The sequence below is a fragment of the Homo sapiens genome, chromosome 14 (assembly GCF_000001405.40).
Source record: "Homo sapiens chromosome 14, GRCh38.p14 Primary Assembly".
Taxonomy (NCBI): domain Eukaryota; kingdom Metazoa; phylum Chordata; class Mammalia; order Primates; family Hominidae; genus Homo; species Homo sapiens.
The window spans coordinates 51,546,959-51,564,162 of NC_000014.9; the positions used below are offsets into that span (position 1 = coordinate 51,546,959).

General features: G+C 39.6%; 1 protein-coding gene and 1 long non-coding RNA gene across 16 annotated transcripts in view; one reads left to right on the forward strand and one right to left on the reverse strand.

The window, feature by feature from the left end:
• Positions 1-17,204, forward strand: part of FRMD6 (FERM domain containing 6) — a 334,297-nt gene that overhangs the window by 150,528 nt on the left and 166,565 nt on the right. For 4 of the 14 annotated variants that reach the window (XM_047430933.1, XM_047430920.1, XM_047430929.1 and 1 more), the window contains one exon: positions 7,632-7,847. The exons of 8 other annotated variants lie outside the window; for them this stretch is intronic. The gene's annotated coding sequence lies outside the window, so the exon portion shown is untranslated. Of the gene's footprint in view, positions 1-7,631; positions 7,848-12,537; positions 12,790-17,204 lie in introns of those variants that run through there. 2 more of the 14 variants (XM_047430927.1, XM_047430934.1) reach the window with 1 other exon arrangement.
• FRMD6-AS2 (FRMD6 antisense RNA 2) overlaps positions 1-17,204 on the reverse strand; it is a 145,441-nt gene that overhangs the window by 92,447 nt on the left and 35,790 nt on the right. The window contains exon 3 of one of the 2 annotated variants that reach the window (NR_047477.2): positions 749-925. The exons of the other annotated variant lie outside the window; for it this stretch is intronic. This is a non-coding gene — a long non-coding RNA (FRMD6 antisense RNA 2). The remainder of the gene's footprint in view (positions 1-748; positions 926-17,204) is intronic. 2 annotated transcript variants of the gene reach the window in all.

Sequence of the window (17,204 nt, forward strand, 5' to 3'; positions counted from 1 at the left end):
TCAGCTAATAGGAGAATATTCCTGGTATGATCTCGGTGCCTTCCTTAACCAAGAATTAGAGCCCCATGGTACAATGACCTTAGAAATTTTGAAAGCAGTAGCACCAGGAAAAGTGAGAGGTCAAAACTCTGTGTGTTCTGTAATGGACACAAACCTGTTGGCATTTAAAAATTCCACAGTGTTTTGCTGTCAAATTTGTTTTAGAATTTCATTTCAGGAAAGTAAGTTCTAACTCTAATGTTATGGAGAAGTTTAAATATTTATACCAGAAAAAATAAAAAGCACAAAACCCTCTACCCTAGAGTCTCAACCATTGACAAGTTACATAATTCTAACGAGTGTAAAGTATCAAGCTCTGTACATCTTGCTCTCTGCTGGGAAGGTGATGCTTCTGTTTCTCTTGGCTGTAAGTTTGTTTGGCCTGAGCTGGATGTCAGCCTGATTCCTAACCCTCCTCATGGAGTCACAGGCTGTAATGCATGAGTCACAGAGGTTAAAATGCAGCCTTTTCTGGTTTATATTGTATGTGGATTCTGTAATAGTCTTGGAATAGTGTTCTGTGATTCATATCCTAGTCTGGTATGCCTTAGCCAAATGCATCTCCTGGTCTGGTGATGTATATTGAGAGCCCTACGACGCTTATTGAGTATGGAGTGATTTAAGGAAACCATTTTTCTATCCCCTGGGAACTTTCTTTCTTATAATATCCCACCCAAATGTGATTTGTTTAAAACATTGTGATGCTCACCTTTATCTTCACCATTAAATATGTCATACTAAATAATCTTGTGGCCATACCAAGGAAACACCAAATATAAGAAGAGCATTTATTTTACAAAAAAGAGGAGACACATCTGTAAGTATTTTGGAGGGTGAGCATATTTCCCGAAGATCTTGAGATTGGATGTTGGCACCCTGTGTGGCCCTGAAAAAAAAAAAAAAAACTATCTTGGGTCTTTTGTAATTGAACTAGAAACTGTACCAACCCAGAGTTTATAAACAGTATCATATAACATTCATTTTGAAATATACAGAAATGTTAATGAGGTGATGGATGTGAAATCAGCTTTTACTAAGAAATACAATGTGTGCCCGCATCAAGCAGTGGGAATAATTACCAATTTATTTTCTCCTATGAAAAAATGATACTCAGACATTAGTGGGATCTTGGAAAGGGATCTGCGTTATTTGTGGAAGTATCACTAAGGCTAAACAACTGTGGCACCAAAGGACAGGCAGCATAATTTTCTAAAATATAGAAAAATTTAAAAGAGGCATTGCCAGAAAATAAATGAGAATGTTCATTCTCGCTAAGTTCTATGAGTAATGTAAACATATCTGGCATTTGTCCCCACTTTCTTCCTGGGACCTTTAAAATGAAAGTTTAGTGATTTATTCTTAATCGCCCACAAGCTGTTAGGTACCCTGTGGCTTGTAGCCATCAGAATTAATTGCAGGTGGCTTTGCGGGTCTGCAGCATGCAGTAAACATGATCATGATGGATTCCTAACACAACCTGGCTGGCTTAGGGTAATTAGCTCTGGATCCCTTCTTCTTGTTCTGAAGTATGTTTAATTCTCCGTGGATTTCTGAAGCAATATTTTGTCTTTCTTGAAAGAAAATTGAAGAAAGTCTGTGAAATAGAAAAATAATTGGACTAAACTCTCAATTTTTTGGAAGGGGAAATGTGGGGGAAACGGGGAGATAAGTTAAAGGCTGAAGCACTTCTGTGAAACTGTTTCTCTAAAGCAGAAAAAGAAGAGTGAATTTAGTGATGGTATATTTACCCTGGAATTTAAGAGGAATAACTCTTTCTGGTGTTCAGAAGTCCATACTTACTGATGTACTGTAAAACCTTGCCCTTCTAAGTGTGGTCCTGGGACCAGCAACGTCAGCATCACCTGGGAGCTAATTAGAGATGGAAAATCTTGGCCACTCCAGACCTGAATCAGAATCTGCATTTTAACCTGGACCAAGGCGATTGGCATTCTTATCAACATTTGAGAACCATTGATGTAATCCATGGTTAGAATATTTGATTTACTTAGAGAGCTTATCATTCTGTCTAGAAGGCATTTATATTCCAGTTATGATTGCCAGAAAGTCCCAGAAAGAAGCAGGTGCAATGCTGTTCCCTGGGAGACCAGGCTGTGAGGGCAGCAGCCATGCCTCTCTGGTCTTTGGATTCCCAGCACCTAGCTCAGTGTATGAAATGTTAAGGTGGATGAATGGATAGGTGAATGGATGGATAGATGGATGGAGGGATGGATGGATGAATGAGTGGATGAAAAGCGTGGTAAACCCCTGAAAAAACGAAAGATGAAGTGAATATTTTTAAAAAATCAATTACAAGCAGATTTTTTGTGTTATTCCATAGTATAGGCTAGCTTAATATCACAATCACAGTAGATTACATGGCAGGCTAACAAAGTCTTATTTTGAAAATTGGACAGTTGTAGGCCTCCAACAGCCTGTGGAGCGAGGTTTGGTTTGTGGAAGGGTGTTATTCCAGCAGAGAAGAATACCTTCCCTTCCCCGAACTCATCTGCTGCTGCATTAGTGCCCTCTATTGCTATGTTCCTTTTTTCTAGCTAGGCCCTATTTCCACAGCTGGAGTATAAACTTTTTTTTTCTTTCTTTTTTTTTTTTTTTTTTTTGAGACAGAGTCTCGCTGTCGCCCGGGCTGGAGTGCAGTGGCGCACTCTCAGCTCACTGCAGGCTCCGCCCCCCAGGTTCACGCCATTCTCCTGCCTCAGCCTCCCGAGTAGCTGGGACTACAGGCGCCCGCCGCCTCGCCCGGCTAGTTTTTTGTATTTTTAGTAGAGACGGGGTTTCACCGTGTTAGCCAGGATGATCTCGATCTCCTGACCTCGTGATCCGCCCGCCTCGGCCTCCCAAAGTGCTGGGATTACAGGCGTGGGCCACCGCGCCCGGCCAGCTGGAGTATAAACCTTTTAAAGGCAGGACTCTGCCTGCAACATTGACTCCCCTGCCCCCAGCACATGTCCGCTAACCTAAACCAATGGCTTTTTAATTTTTGCATATTTTTAAATAGTGCCTGTCCTTTGGTGCCACAGTTGTATAGCCTTAATGATACTTCTGCAAATAATGGGGATCCCTTTCTTTCTAAGATCCCGGTAATGCTGCTCATGCCACATTGGCTAATGCTGAGAGCTTATGACAACATGAAGAAATTCACTCCAGGGAGTAACAATCTGTGTCCTCTTTTCTCATCCCTAAATCCACCATTTCTTTTGGAAATAGGAATGATGTCTTTTTATTTTTTTAATTTTTTGTTTAAACAATTACTGGTTCTGTTGTCCAGGCTGGAGTACTGGGGTGCAATCATGGCTCACTGCAGCCTTGGCCTCCCTGGGCTCAAGTGATTCTCCCACCTCAGCCTCCCAAATGTCTTTTTATCATTGGCTCATTTTATTGCATTCAATGAATTGTTGGAAATTAGAGCCAGCCAAAAATTGTATAAATATTGGGCTGTGTCTGCTTCTCTGACACTAGATGAAGATGGCATTTGTGCCTGTGTGTCTGTGGGGTCCTCAGGAAGCTCTTCTCCTTGAGAGGCCTTGCCAGTGCCAGCCTCATCAGAGGGCAGCTTGGGAGGAGACCCCCCCGCCATGCTTATAGCTTGAATGGATTCCTGAGATGATGTTTCATGGTGCAGAGGCAGAGGAAGGGCGGGATAGTGAGTGGAAGAAGCATTGGCCATGAAATCAGAAAACCTTGATTTGAACTGTAACTCTCCTACTCACTACTTGTGTGATCTTGGCAATTTTCATCATGTCTGTGAAATACATTGTACAGTGCGTGACAGGGAGTCAGCATTCACCATTTGCTAGTTTCCCTTGCCTCTCTGAGCCTGTTTCCTCATTATGATGCATAAAAATATCACATACTTTAGCACTTGTCACATAAAACGTGCATAATGAATGCTTTTGATTCCCTCCCCGTTTGCTGGTCCCGGGTACCACCCACACTGTTTGGCACTCCCTGTTTCTCTGTGTTGGATCTTCTTAAAGTGTTCTATTGGATGACCTTCACTTGTCCCTTGATGCCATGGTCAGAAATCATGGTCTATCTGCCAAGTGGACTTTCTTCCATCCAGTAGTTTCTGTCCATCCCTGACCACCCACTAGATCCTCCATTTACCCAGCACATGTTTCAAGATCCAGGATCTCCCACTACTAAGTAAAAAAACTTGTGCTATTTGCCACTGGAAACTGACTTGAAAACACCGGAATCCAGAAGGTTTATTCTTGGGGCACTTCCTCTTCAAATTCCAGTACTTTTGGCATTTTTGACACAAATACAAATTTTATAAATTATTTCTTTAAAAATAAAGTATATAGGTTCATCGTAGAAGAAAAATTGACTTAAATATAGATAGTAAAAAGGAAGAAAAAGTTCAGTTGTAATCCTATTATACACAGAGAACAATTATTTGTCACCTTGGTGGATAGCCTTTTAATTTTTATATATGACCCAGCACAGTGGCTCAGGCCTGTAATCTTAGCACTTCGGGAGACCAAGGTGGTCAGATTGCTTGAGCTCAGGAGTTCAAGACCAGCCTGAGCAACACAGTGAAACCCTGTCTTTACAAAAAATACGAAAAATTTATCCAGGCCTGATGGTTTGTGCTTGTAGTCCCAGCTACTTGGGGGGCTGAGGTGGAAGGATGGCTTGAGCCCAGGAGGTCAAGGCTGCAGTGAGCAGAGATCAGGCCACTGCACTCCAGCCTGGGTGACAAAATGAGACCTCTTTAGAAAAAAAAACTTTATATAAATGAATATATAATATATGTAATACATTTTATACAAATATACAAATAAATGCATATAATATAAAATGCATTAACATCTATTATATAAGTATATGTTAAAATATTTTTAGTATATAGGTATGTATTTGATCCATTGGCCTCTAACTATTCCATGTTTTCAGAAACACACACACAGTCTTAATGTTCTTAGAGTTTTATGGCTTATATTTTTTCCACCTGATTATCCCTTGTGCTACTGAATATAAATTATTGTTTAAACAAATCAATGCCTAGAACATTGCCTAGCCTATAGTAGTGTACAATGAATAAATATTTTGAGAATAAATGAGAAAACATATCCTAATGTAATTTTTGTGTAAATTTTGAGCTTTCAATGTTGGATTTTCTTTTAAATGGGGTAAATCTGTTGATAAATTGTTATGAAAAGTTCACATGGAAAAAAAGCCTCATTTAAAGGGAGATTAAGATAGATCTTTACTAACATCTGTTGGTGAACCTGTCTGTCATAACTTTTCATTTTAGAACCGCACAGTGATTTAGCGTTGAATCCTATTTGGACTAATTTAAGCCTGCAAATCTGAAAACTATCTTTCCTTTAAAATTTGAGGGCTTTAAGTGCAATGTTTTTAGGGATTGGACAAACAGTTACAAGAGGGACGAGTAGCCTTTGAATTCCCTGCCAGTAGGCACAAACCCTGATGCCCCTAGGGGCTGGCAATGATTTCACAGGTTAAGTGGCGCAGATGGGAACCCACTGCAGTCACTCTGCAAAACTGGAGTGCGATGCATGACGGAGAGTCAGCGTTCACCCAGTGCTAGTTTCCAAAAGGCAGCCACTACTGAACTTTCATGTGGCAAGGTGGGGTCCAATGGCACCAGCTTGTTTTCTTTCTTCAGGAGAAGTAAAAAACTTGAAAAATTATGTGAAATTCTTGATTCTGAAATAATGGCAGCTCATTTAATTTAAAATATGAAACTATGCAAGCAAAACAAAATCCACCTGAGAACAATGAGCCTCTGGGTTAAGCTGAGGAACTGTTTAAATTGCCTAAAAGACCCCAGTTACTCAAATGCCAGGTGGAAGACTGCTTCAGAAGACTGGCTGGGTCTGCCTTCCTCAAGGGTGCGACACGTTGCTCTCATGAGCCAGATCTAGGTTCTCAGTGGCTCCTGCAGGAAGTCGTAAGTGGATGCAAGAAGTCCCAAGCTGGCAGTCTGCCAGGTGATTCCAGTAGGTAATGTCAGTTCAAATAGGGGAGACTGCCAATACCTGTGACCTGGCACAGTGAATTGGCAAGCAGATCAGAAAGAGATCTTAATACATTGTGAATAAGTCCTGATTTCTAGAGAGATCTCCAAGGTTGAATTATTAAAACCCTCACATTTACCTCCTCTTGGAGCTCTGTTGGAGTTAAAAGTCTCTACTGAATCTTAAAAAGGACGCAAATGTCAAAAAGAGACAAATCCCAGCCAAGTGATGGGAAATGTGATTTCAGGATAATAGCATCTGCTCATTGGTCATTAAAATACATTATTTCCAATGAATGCCCTTAACTCTGCAGGATGGGAACATAGCTTTAATCAGACAGGTTCCCAGATCAGAGTACATCAAAACACAAGCAGCAGATTCTGTGCTGCCTGATCAACAGAGGAAAGAAATTCAGAACATTTTCTTTTACATTTAAAATGCTTTATGAGGGAAATGGGTAGTTAGTCATATTTATTATTGAGCATTTATAAGAATACTTGCTTATTGTTTTATTTCCTTATTATTTATTTTGAGCTGAGTTTCTGGTTATTAAGAAAGGGTCCTCTTTCTTAAAGGGTAGATACCTGATTGTGCAGCTAAAAGGAGCTAAAAGGTGCATCAGAACTGAAACACCTGCCTAGAGGTAGGAAAGGGATCAGATTTTCTCTAGGGATACCTACTGATCAGTTCTAAGAGACACAAGTTCCTGAAGGAGTTCATTTTTCTGGTGGCTTTTTCTAACGCTGCTTTGGTCCTGAAGGAGTTGCAGATAATGAATAGCTAAGAGAAGACGGTGGAGTTTACCGAGCGGATGAGGGGCAGGCTGTGAATTTAGTAGGAAAAGAGAAATGGGTCTGTGAAAATCTCTAGGAAGATGAGAACAAACTTGTACTTGAACATCAAAATAGCACCCTAATATCTTATTAGCAGCAAGCATACTTGGTGCCCAGGTGTTGATTTCCAAGGCCATTATCCAATAAAAAGAACCAGGGATTCTTGGAGACACGAATGATTCTAGGGCTGGAGCAAAAAAATATACAAGATGAACCTAGGGCACCCTGTAGAGCCAGAAAATAAGCAAGTTCTAAAACAAAACAAAGGCCAAAACTTACAATGATGAGACTATATTCAAAGGAACACAGGAGCCAACTGAAAGAGCTCCCAATGGCCAAAGCTGGAACAATTTGACAAATAAAATAAATAAATAAGCATTTGGATTATATCTCAAAATACAAAATAAATATCCATGAGTCCATGTTATAAATAAATGATTGAATAAATAAATAGTATAAAAGAGACAAATCTCCCAAGCAGAAAAATTCCATATTTTGTGGAGATACTCTGGCCTCAAGGAGATGGAATGTAACTCCCAATTCCTTAATTGAGGCTGTGTATAGTAACTTCCTTCCAAAGAGTATAGTCTGGGAAGAAGCAAAAGAGTAACTTTACAGTGGGGAAACCTTACAAACAGTACCTCAACCGGGTGCTCAAGATCACCAGCACAGTGACAAGTCATGTTGATGCTATGTTATCCTTGATATGATGTGATGAAAATGGCATCTGTGGAATCTGTGACTTTCTCCCCAGAATCCATGACCACAGTCTAGTCATGAGAAAAACATCAGACAAATCCCAATAAAGGGACATTCTACAAAATATCCGACTGGTACTCCCGAAATTGACTGTTCAGGTCACTGAAAGCAAGGAAAGCCTGATAAACTGCCACGGCCACGAGGAGTCTAAGGACACATCCAATTTCCATTCGCATCCAAAATGGAATCCGAGACAGAAAGAGGACCTTAGGTGAGAACTAAAGAAATGGGAACAAAAGTATGGACTGTAGTTATTGACACTGCATCAATTTTGTTTCTTTAGTGCTAATAAGTATACCGCAAAATGTAAGATGTTAATAATAGGAGAACCTGGGCACATGGTACATGGGAACTCTGTGCTATTTTCACAATTTTTCTGTAAATCTAAACTGTTCTGAGACATAAAGTTGGTTTTTAAAAGAGCCATCCTGGCCTGCACTAGGAAATACTTACTCGATGCATTGTGGACCCTTCCTCCAATTCAAGATGTCTCAAGTAGCTTTCTTGGTTAAAAGGGCAGTGATGTAAAAACAGGCATCATTTTACCAAAGGGCCACCAGATGGCTGTCATCTGGCAGAAGTCTACTTCCTGGGCTTTCTAGATGCATACATGACTATCACCGGGAGCATTCAACCTCCAAAGAAGAGTTCTACTAATTATGTCTGTCTAAATAATGTGATAAATTTAAGTTTCAAGTGATAGCAGTTAGTTCACATTGTAAATATACAACTCAGTTTGTCTGTACCAAATTTAAAACAAATTTGCCTACTGTGTCCCAGGAAATATTTCAGCCAGGTACCTTTGATTTTCACAATTGGGCTATGTAGAAATTGCTTTTGGAGACAATTAATTGGAAGCACTTATAAGGTTGTAGCTTTAATTACATACTGATGTAGTCTGCTCCTGGTTAAAAAGGCACCCCATAGGTCAGGCTTGGTAGCTTACGCCTGTAATCCCGGCACTTTGGGAGGCTGAGTCGAGCAGATCACCTGAGTTTGGGAGTTTGAGACCAGCCTGACCAACATGGAGAAAATTTGTCTCTACTAAAAACACAAAATTAGCTGAGCATGGTGGCATATGTCTGTAATCCCAGCTACTCGGGAGGCTGAGGCAGGAGAATCGCTTGAACTTGGGAGGCAGAGATTGCGGTGAGCAGAGATTGTGCCATTGCACTCCAGCCTGGGCAACAAGAGCAAAATTCTGACTCAAAAAAAAAAAAAAAAAAGTTATCTGATAAGTAGTAGTGATACGTTAAAGAAAAAAATACTACTGTTGAAGTTGCTGTTAATTACATGTTGGGTACTGCTTACTTCCTATGTAAGGTCCAAATTCTTTGGATGATTTGTTCAAAAGTTGGAACAAGAGATATGCAGAGGCACTTTATAATCACCTTTTGCCTTCTGAGGTAGTCATTTGTACCTACCTCAGCTACTCATAATCTCCTTCAAAACTAGGGCTAAGTATTGATGGCCTTTGTGTTTCCCATGCAACTGCCAAAGGGCCTTGCATCAACACATTTTGGTGAATTAGTTAAACAAGGTACACCTCTGCTGTTCCTAGGACTTAACTGAAGGCTTAGACTGGAATCACAGAATAGTCAGAATGTGCCATCTTGATTACTGCTTCCTTTCTACCCACAGACATCAATGGTAAAATCAGACACTTTTGTTCTCTCAGATTTCTGTATTTTAATGTACTATAAATTACATATTTGAATGCACTGTATTCATTTTTCATATCAATCACTGAATAATTAGAAGGTATTTCTTCTTAACAAGTGTCAAAACATTTCATAGCCCCAGTTTACTTTGTAGAATTTCACATTGTGAGTAGGTGAGAGCCTTAATCATCAGAGTCAAACCTTAAGTGCTAAAATCCGCTCTGTGGTGACATTTACTTAATTGCTTTACAAGACTGAGGCTCAGTCAAGTTTGTCTTCCTCAGCAACTCTTCCTTTTTATCTAATTATGCATTTAGATGGAGTCCCTGGTGGTGGGGAGGGAGGCGACAGGGGTATTGGCCTTAGGCAAAGTTTCTGTTCCAAAGGAGATTTAGTCCGTTATTATGTCTAAACTTTCCAATTCGTAGTCCATTCTAGTTTTTAGGAGGATTAATGTACATCCTATCTGCAATATAGTAATATTAGCCTTATCCATCATTGAAGAGTGAGCTCACCACCTAGTTCTTTCCCGAGCTGCCCCTGTCTCCTTCTCTACCCCTTCCACCATAATCCATAGCTTCAACCAAAACTTTATTCAAGTGGCTTCCAAATCCAGATCTAAATCTCTGACCTTTATTCTAAACCCAAGATGCCTGCTTTTCCAGACTCACAAATTTTACTTTTTGAGGAACCATATTATTTTTTCCTGACACTTATCACGATGCTTTGCAGGCTATAAGAAAGTAATAAACTGGGCATGGTGGTATGTGCCTATAATCCCAGCTATTCTGAGGCTGAGCGGGGAGGATTGCTTGAGCCCTAGAATGTGAGTTTAGCCTGGGCAACATAGTGAGACCCTGTCTGAAAAGAGGAAAAGAAGAAGGAAGAAAGGAAAGAAGGAAGGAAGGAAATGAGCAAATGAAGCATTATCCACAATAGCCAAGATATGTAATCAACCTAGGTGTCCATCAATGGATGAGAAAATGTGACATATATATATATATATATATATACACACATACATACATACATACATAGGAATATTATTCAGCCTTTAAAGAGAAGAAGGAAATCCTGTCACTTTCAATGACATGGATGAACCTGGAAGACATTATGCTAAGTGGTATAAGCCAGGCACAGAAAGCCAAATACAGCATGATCTCACCTCTTTGTAGAATCTAAAACAGTCAAACTCAACTAGTGGGATAGTGGTTATCAGGGGCTAGGGCAAGGCTAGGGCAGGGTGATGGTAGGGGGAGCCAGGGAGAGGGGTTGGAAAATGTTCTTCAAATGATACACAATTTCAGTTAGACAGGAAACATAAATTCAGGACATCTGTACAACACGGTTACTAGAATTAGTAACAATGTATTGTATACTTGAAAATTGCTAAGAGAATAGATTTTAAATGTTCTCATCACAAAACAAAATAAATATGTGAGGTAATAGATATATTAATTAGTTTGATTTAGCCATTCCCCAGTGTATTCGTATATCAAAATACCATGTTGGGACACAAAGAAGGGAACAACAGACACCGGGACCTACTTGAAGGTCGAGAGAGGGAGGAGGGTGAGGTTGGAAAAACTACCTTTTGGGTACTAGGCTTACTACCTAGGTGACAAAATAATTTGTACACCAAACCCCTGTGACACACAACTTACCTATATAACAAACCTGCATGTGTGTACCCCTGAACTAAAATAAAAGTTAAAAAAAAAAGACAATTGGTAAGGAAAGTATGATTATTATTTGAAGTTTTCATGAAGATACCGAAAGATACAAAGATGATTTTTTGTTAATAATTTGTTTACAATTGTATAGTTGTCTTTTATTCTCAATAAATTATTGAATTCCTTAAAAAAATGTTGTAAACCATTAATATATACAATTTTCATTTTTTAATAAATACCTTTTTAAAAATTAAATGAGGCCGGGCACGATGGCTCACACCTGTAATCCTAGCACTTTGGAAGGCTAAGGTGGCAGATCACCTGAGGTCAGGAGTTTGAGACCAGCCTGGCCAACATGGCGAAACCCTGTCTCTACTAAAAATACAAAAATTAGCCAGGCATGGTGGTGCAAGCCTGTAATCCTAGCTACTCAGGAGGCTGAGGCAGGAGAATCACTTGAACCTGGGAGGTGGAGGTTGCAGTGAGCCGAGATTGCACCACTGCACTCCAGCCCAGGCGGCAGAGCAAGACTGTCTCAAAAAAAAAACAAAAAACAAAAAACAAAACTAAATGAGCAAATGAATAACTGAGTATATAATATGGAAAACAAAAGCCAACTCTCTTAGGAGCTAAAAATTTTAGCCATTTTAAATGAGAAGTCTCCAAAAATGTCATAATATAGTATAATTATATAATTACATGCCTTTCCCAATAAAATCTACTAAATATAATTTAATCTTTTTTCTTTTTACTTAGAGACCACCCTTATGAATATCAGTTACTATATAACATGTGGTAACATAGTAGCCCTTAGGTGTTTTAACTATTTGAGAAAATTTGCCCTCCTCTAAAGGAGTTTTTTTGTCTGCTTTTCATATTCTTCACTGTCAGGATGCCACCTGTCATTTCTTGCTATCACTGGTGTCTGTACCTCCAGCATCAGCCCCACCCTTGTTCCCTGATTGTACCACTCTTTGCCAAATTTTATGACTTAACTGCTATGAGTTAGGAAACCCTATAGCTTTGCTTTTAGACATTTCTAAACAAAAAGTAAGCTCTAAGCAAGGCCTTGAGGAGCTACTTTATGAGTACAGTGTGTGGATTGGTTTCAGTCCATTTTATCCACACTGAAACATTTTGTTGCCACATTTCTTAGTTTAACTGTCCTAGATAAATGAAGTTGCTAGGTGAGAGAAAGTTGCATATCAACATACCCCGGCAAATAGGCCTTCATTTGATTTGGTACCTATTCTCTGATTCTAGAGAATATACTAACTCTCACTCAGAAAAGAAATAAGATCTGTAAATGTAAATTCAATTGGAAAATGTTATTTATTCCATCCATCTCCCTATTTAAAGGTCATAATTTTTGCCTTCTTCTGCAAGACTTCAACCATCATTGTTTTCAGTGTTTCTCAAAGTGTGGTCCTTAGACCAGCTGCATCAGAAACACTCAGAGTGCACGTTAACAAGCAGATTCTTTGGTCCTACCCTTGGTCAATCCAATCAGAATCCTCCGGTGGTGATGGTATATTCCACGTTACTTTTTTTTTTTTTTTTTTTTTTAAGCAAGCCTTCCTTGTGATAAATTCTCAGGCATATGAGAGTTTACATCACCAAGCTAGAATGACTCCTCTGACATTCTTCACAATTCCCTTCCACCAACCCTTCCTCCTATCTCTATGCTTTCTTTTCCAGTTTCATACATTCTGCTTATCCACTATTTCTTGAATTTTTCTCTTCTCCAGACCTCCAAATTCAGAACCTTCCTTTGAATATTTTATGACCATCCATCTTTCCCTAATCAAGAACAAATAAGGTAATCATTTTTTCCTGAACATAAAATTTCTGCAATATGCCTATCCCCTTCCCTGAGCCTGCAAGATTGATAGATGGGTTATACAAAGTGGTGGAAACACTTTTTCTGGAAGTTTTTCAGAAGTGAGTATAAGCACAGTCATGTTCATAGGTAGAAAGAGAACTGGATGACTTATAAAGCCATTTCCAGGCGTGCCTAGAGTCTTTACATTGTAAATACTAACTTAATTTATTAATTTTCTGTCCATTCCTTTTTAAGACATTTCTGCTAGTCTTTTGTCTTTATATTTTGAAGCTTTTCTATCCTGGGACTATACTTTATAATCATGTTGTATCTCTTATAATAGTAGACACTAGCAATCTGCAATACATTTATGGACATGGAATAAATCCATATTGATCTATACTTTGCATTCTTGTTTTCTGTATCACAATTGAGGTGTGAGAAGGCAGAGTCTCACCTAATACAATGAAATAAACATCACCCAACACAGAATTGAATTAAGTTTTATCCTTATTTAAATTTTCTCTGATGAAAAATTCGTAAAATAAAAGGTTTTATATCAGTGTCATATATTTATGTACCAAATTACACCCTGAATGGAGTAGTAATAGTAATATTCATGTAGGCCGGCAACAGTGTTTCAGAAGCTGCATGGGAGACAGACAGGCTTGGTATAACAGCCAAGTGGGCAGGTGATCTCTGTTGACATCCCACTCCTTTGCATTGATCCTACTTTGTTTGTCTGTTTTTTGAGACCAAGTTTCGCTCTTGTTGCCCAGGCTGGTGTGCAATACCATGATCTCAGTTCACTGCAATCTCTGCCTCCTGGGTTCGAGTGATTCTCTTGCCTCAGCCTCCCAAGTAGCTGGGATTACAGGCATGTGCCACCATACCCGGCTAATTTTTGTATTTTAGTAGAGACAGGGTTTCACCATGTTGATCAGTCTGGTCTCAAACTCCTGACCTCAGGTGATCCACCTGCCTCAGACTCCCAAAGTGCTGGGATTACAGGCGTGAGTCACCGCACCTGGCTGATCTCACTTTTTTTAGTTACCCAGAGTCCTCTCAAAGGTGCCCTTCCTACATCCTACCATGACCTGTTCACCCACAAATTTCTCCAAACTCCAAAATTACTCTTGGTCTCTCTTTAATAAAAGTTTTGGTAGTAGGGAGAAAGTAATCTGATGTTTGCATTTTATTTAAAAAGTTTATTGAATAAAATTAATGTTGGATTATTGACATCTATGTGGTCCACATTCTTAAGCCCCTCTTCCTGCTGTCAGAAGACTATGAGTTAGTAACTTGCCATCCCACTTGAAAACATCTTGGTTTGGGGAAGACAGAGCTAAATTGTGGGTACAGAATATTTGCCCTTTGAATCTAGGTAACTTAAGATGAAGTCTTTCTGTAGGAGGCAGTTACACCAGCTGCCTTTCAAGGATGAATCAGGATTCAGATGAATTCAGCCTCACATGATTTCTTTATATCAATGACAACATTGATTTCTCAGACTATCAATATGGTCTTTCTCTTGTGGCCTCTAACCCTAACCCTGTAACAAAGAAGGCATTTTTAATCACTGAGGGCTAAAATATAGAATTGAATGAAGGCAAGCAATTCCATTTGGAATGTCCCATCAGCATTGGAAGGGACCTCCTTTGTACTGCAGCCTGCTGTGGCTAAGCACTAAGAATGTATTGTGAACTACCAGTGCTCAGGGAGCAGCCGGGGAAGTATCTTCTCTAGACAACAGAGGCTGAAGCTGTGAATCACGCATTTAAGTAACAGAGTTGTAGGCAAATAGCAATAGACTTGTAAGCAAAGATTATATTGAATTTGACAACAGGCTTGGGTGTTTTGTTTATTTATTTATTTATTTTGATGACTTCAACCTGACATTGACCTGATGAGCTCAGAAAAATAGTCTTGAGCTGAAGAGCACTCACTTCCCAGCAGAGATTTCCATGTTAATGGATATGTCAACCTTATTCAGTGAAAAAGAAGGTCAAGGGCATCCAAATAATACATATAATCCTTTCAGGCTATTTTAATTGAGTTTTTCAGTATCATAGTTCACTAAGAAGAAAAAGGGGAGAAATCATCACAAATTCATTTTGATTGTTATCCCAAATGAAAAAAATATATATTTAGTTTATCTTTGCTAGAAAATCTGATCTTGTAGAACAATCCTGGTGTTAAACCATTTTCTAAAACTACATTTCCAGAATTAGCCAATTCAGCTTCTTTTTCTATTCTGTAGAATTTGGCCAGAATCAAAGATTCCCACCGTGGCTTTTTTATCTGCCTTTTAGGGCCCAAGTCCGGCATCAATTGCTCCTTCAACTCCAAGACGAGTTGAGCGATGAGTATTTGAGGAAGAGCACTGCAAAGTAAATTTCCATCTTTCACCCCCACATTTCTATCCCGCCCATCCCTGCATCTGCAGGCTCTATGATCAAAAATAAATATCTTGCTTTCTTAATCAGAATTTAGGTATCAACCAAAGATTGCCTGCATCCAGGGACTAATGGGAGTAGGCCACAGGAGATTAGATCTAGATCTTACCCAGGTTGACAATCTCTATCTAGGAGGTCATGCATGGTAGCATTTATCAGGAAGCAGAAGATAGCATGCATATTGCTCAGGCCACATGGCACCCTGCGATCTTCAAGCTGGCCCAGGTATATATACTGTGGAGACACAGTTTTGTAAAAACTCTGATGCCAAAGTAGTTCAGAATGAGTACGAGTGGGAAGTCAACCATGCGTGGGGACTGCATGAGCCCCCTGAAGTGTTAGTCTAGATAAAGCTTCTCCAGTTTATTTCTTGGCAAAGAGCATTCCCTCACTCCAACCCAAGGGCAATTTCTATACAGTGGCTAAATATCTAAACAGGTTATCATAATGGGTTGGGAGAATATATTACCAAGAAGATTTGAGTCAGTACAGCTTTCTTCCTGCATAAGACTTGATAACCTGAATTAAATTAAACATGATGGGTTGATTAAGAAACACAATTTGCATGGTAGTAATTATTAATGGCTCCAGCTACTATTGCTGCACAGGAAACCACCCCAAAACTTAGTGGCACAAAATAGACATTTATGATACTCTTGGATATAGAATTCTCTGCTGGTCAAGAATTCAGACGGGACATAGTAAGGATAGTTTGTCTCTTTGCACAACGTCTGGGACCTCAGCTAGGGAGACTCATGACCTGGGGGTGATTTGATGACTCAGGGCTGAAGTGATTTTGAGGTTTCTTTCTGCCATGTCTGGCAGTTGATGTTGACTGTAGGCAGAGAGCACAGTAGGCTGCTGACCGATGTGTAGCATCGCCAGCATGGCAGCCTCAGAAGAGCCAGACTTCTTCCACGGTGACTAGCTCCTCCCAGAGTGAGTATCCCAGGAGAACCAGGAGGAAGCTTTATGGTCTTTTCTGACCTAGCCTCATACAGCATCATTTCCATAGTAAAAGAATTATCGCTTACAAGTCCAGATTCAAGGGGCAGAGTGAAAGACCCCATCTCTCAATGTATCAGAGAATTTTTATATAAGATTTAAATGTTTTCAAATTGCCTCATTCATATAAGGCATAGCCATCAAGAGCTAGAGCCATGGTAGAAAAAAGCTACTGTGGCCGGGCGTGGTGGCTCATGCTTGTAATCCCAGCACTTTGGGAGGCTGAAGAGGGTGGATCACTTGAAGTCAGGAGTTCGAGACCATCCTGGCCAACATGGCAAAACCCCATCTCTACTAAAAATCCAAAAATTAACTGGGCATGGTGGTGGGTGCCTGTAATCCCAGCTACTCTGGAGGCTGAGGCATGAGAATCACTTGAACCTGGGTGGCAGAGGTTGTAGTGAGCTGAGATCATGCCACTGCACTCCAGCCTAGGCAATAGAGCGAGATTCAGTCTCAAAAAAAAAGAATGAAGAAAAAAGCTTCTGTGGTTGCAATACAACTTTGATGTAATGCATAGCTCAGTAACAACTCAGAAGTGAAGAAAGTATACAGAAGGTCTATGATTATACTAATGGCTATGAAAAATGCTTAATATAATCAAGCTTGGAAAGTCCATTTTTATTCACTGATAGTAAGGTTTCTAACTGTACACTTAGAGATATTTAGAAACAATTTTATTTTCAGAATTCCCACAAGATTAATAACTTTGCGATCGCAAGTCATAAACTTTCAAGTTCTAACCACTTTTACCTCTTGAAAACAATTGTTTTATTACCATTTCTAAAGTTTTTATTACGGAAAATTTCTTTCTGGGTATGCAGCTAGGTACTGATTTCATTTATTACAGCTCTGGTCACTATTTATCCTACTCCTTGTTCAATATTACTTCACACCCCCACAGATTGGCCCGATTTCCTCCACGAGCCTCCCTTGGTCATGTTCAAGTTT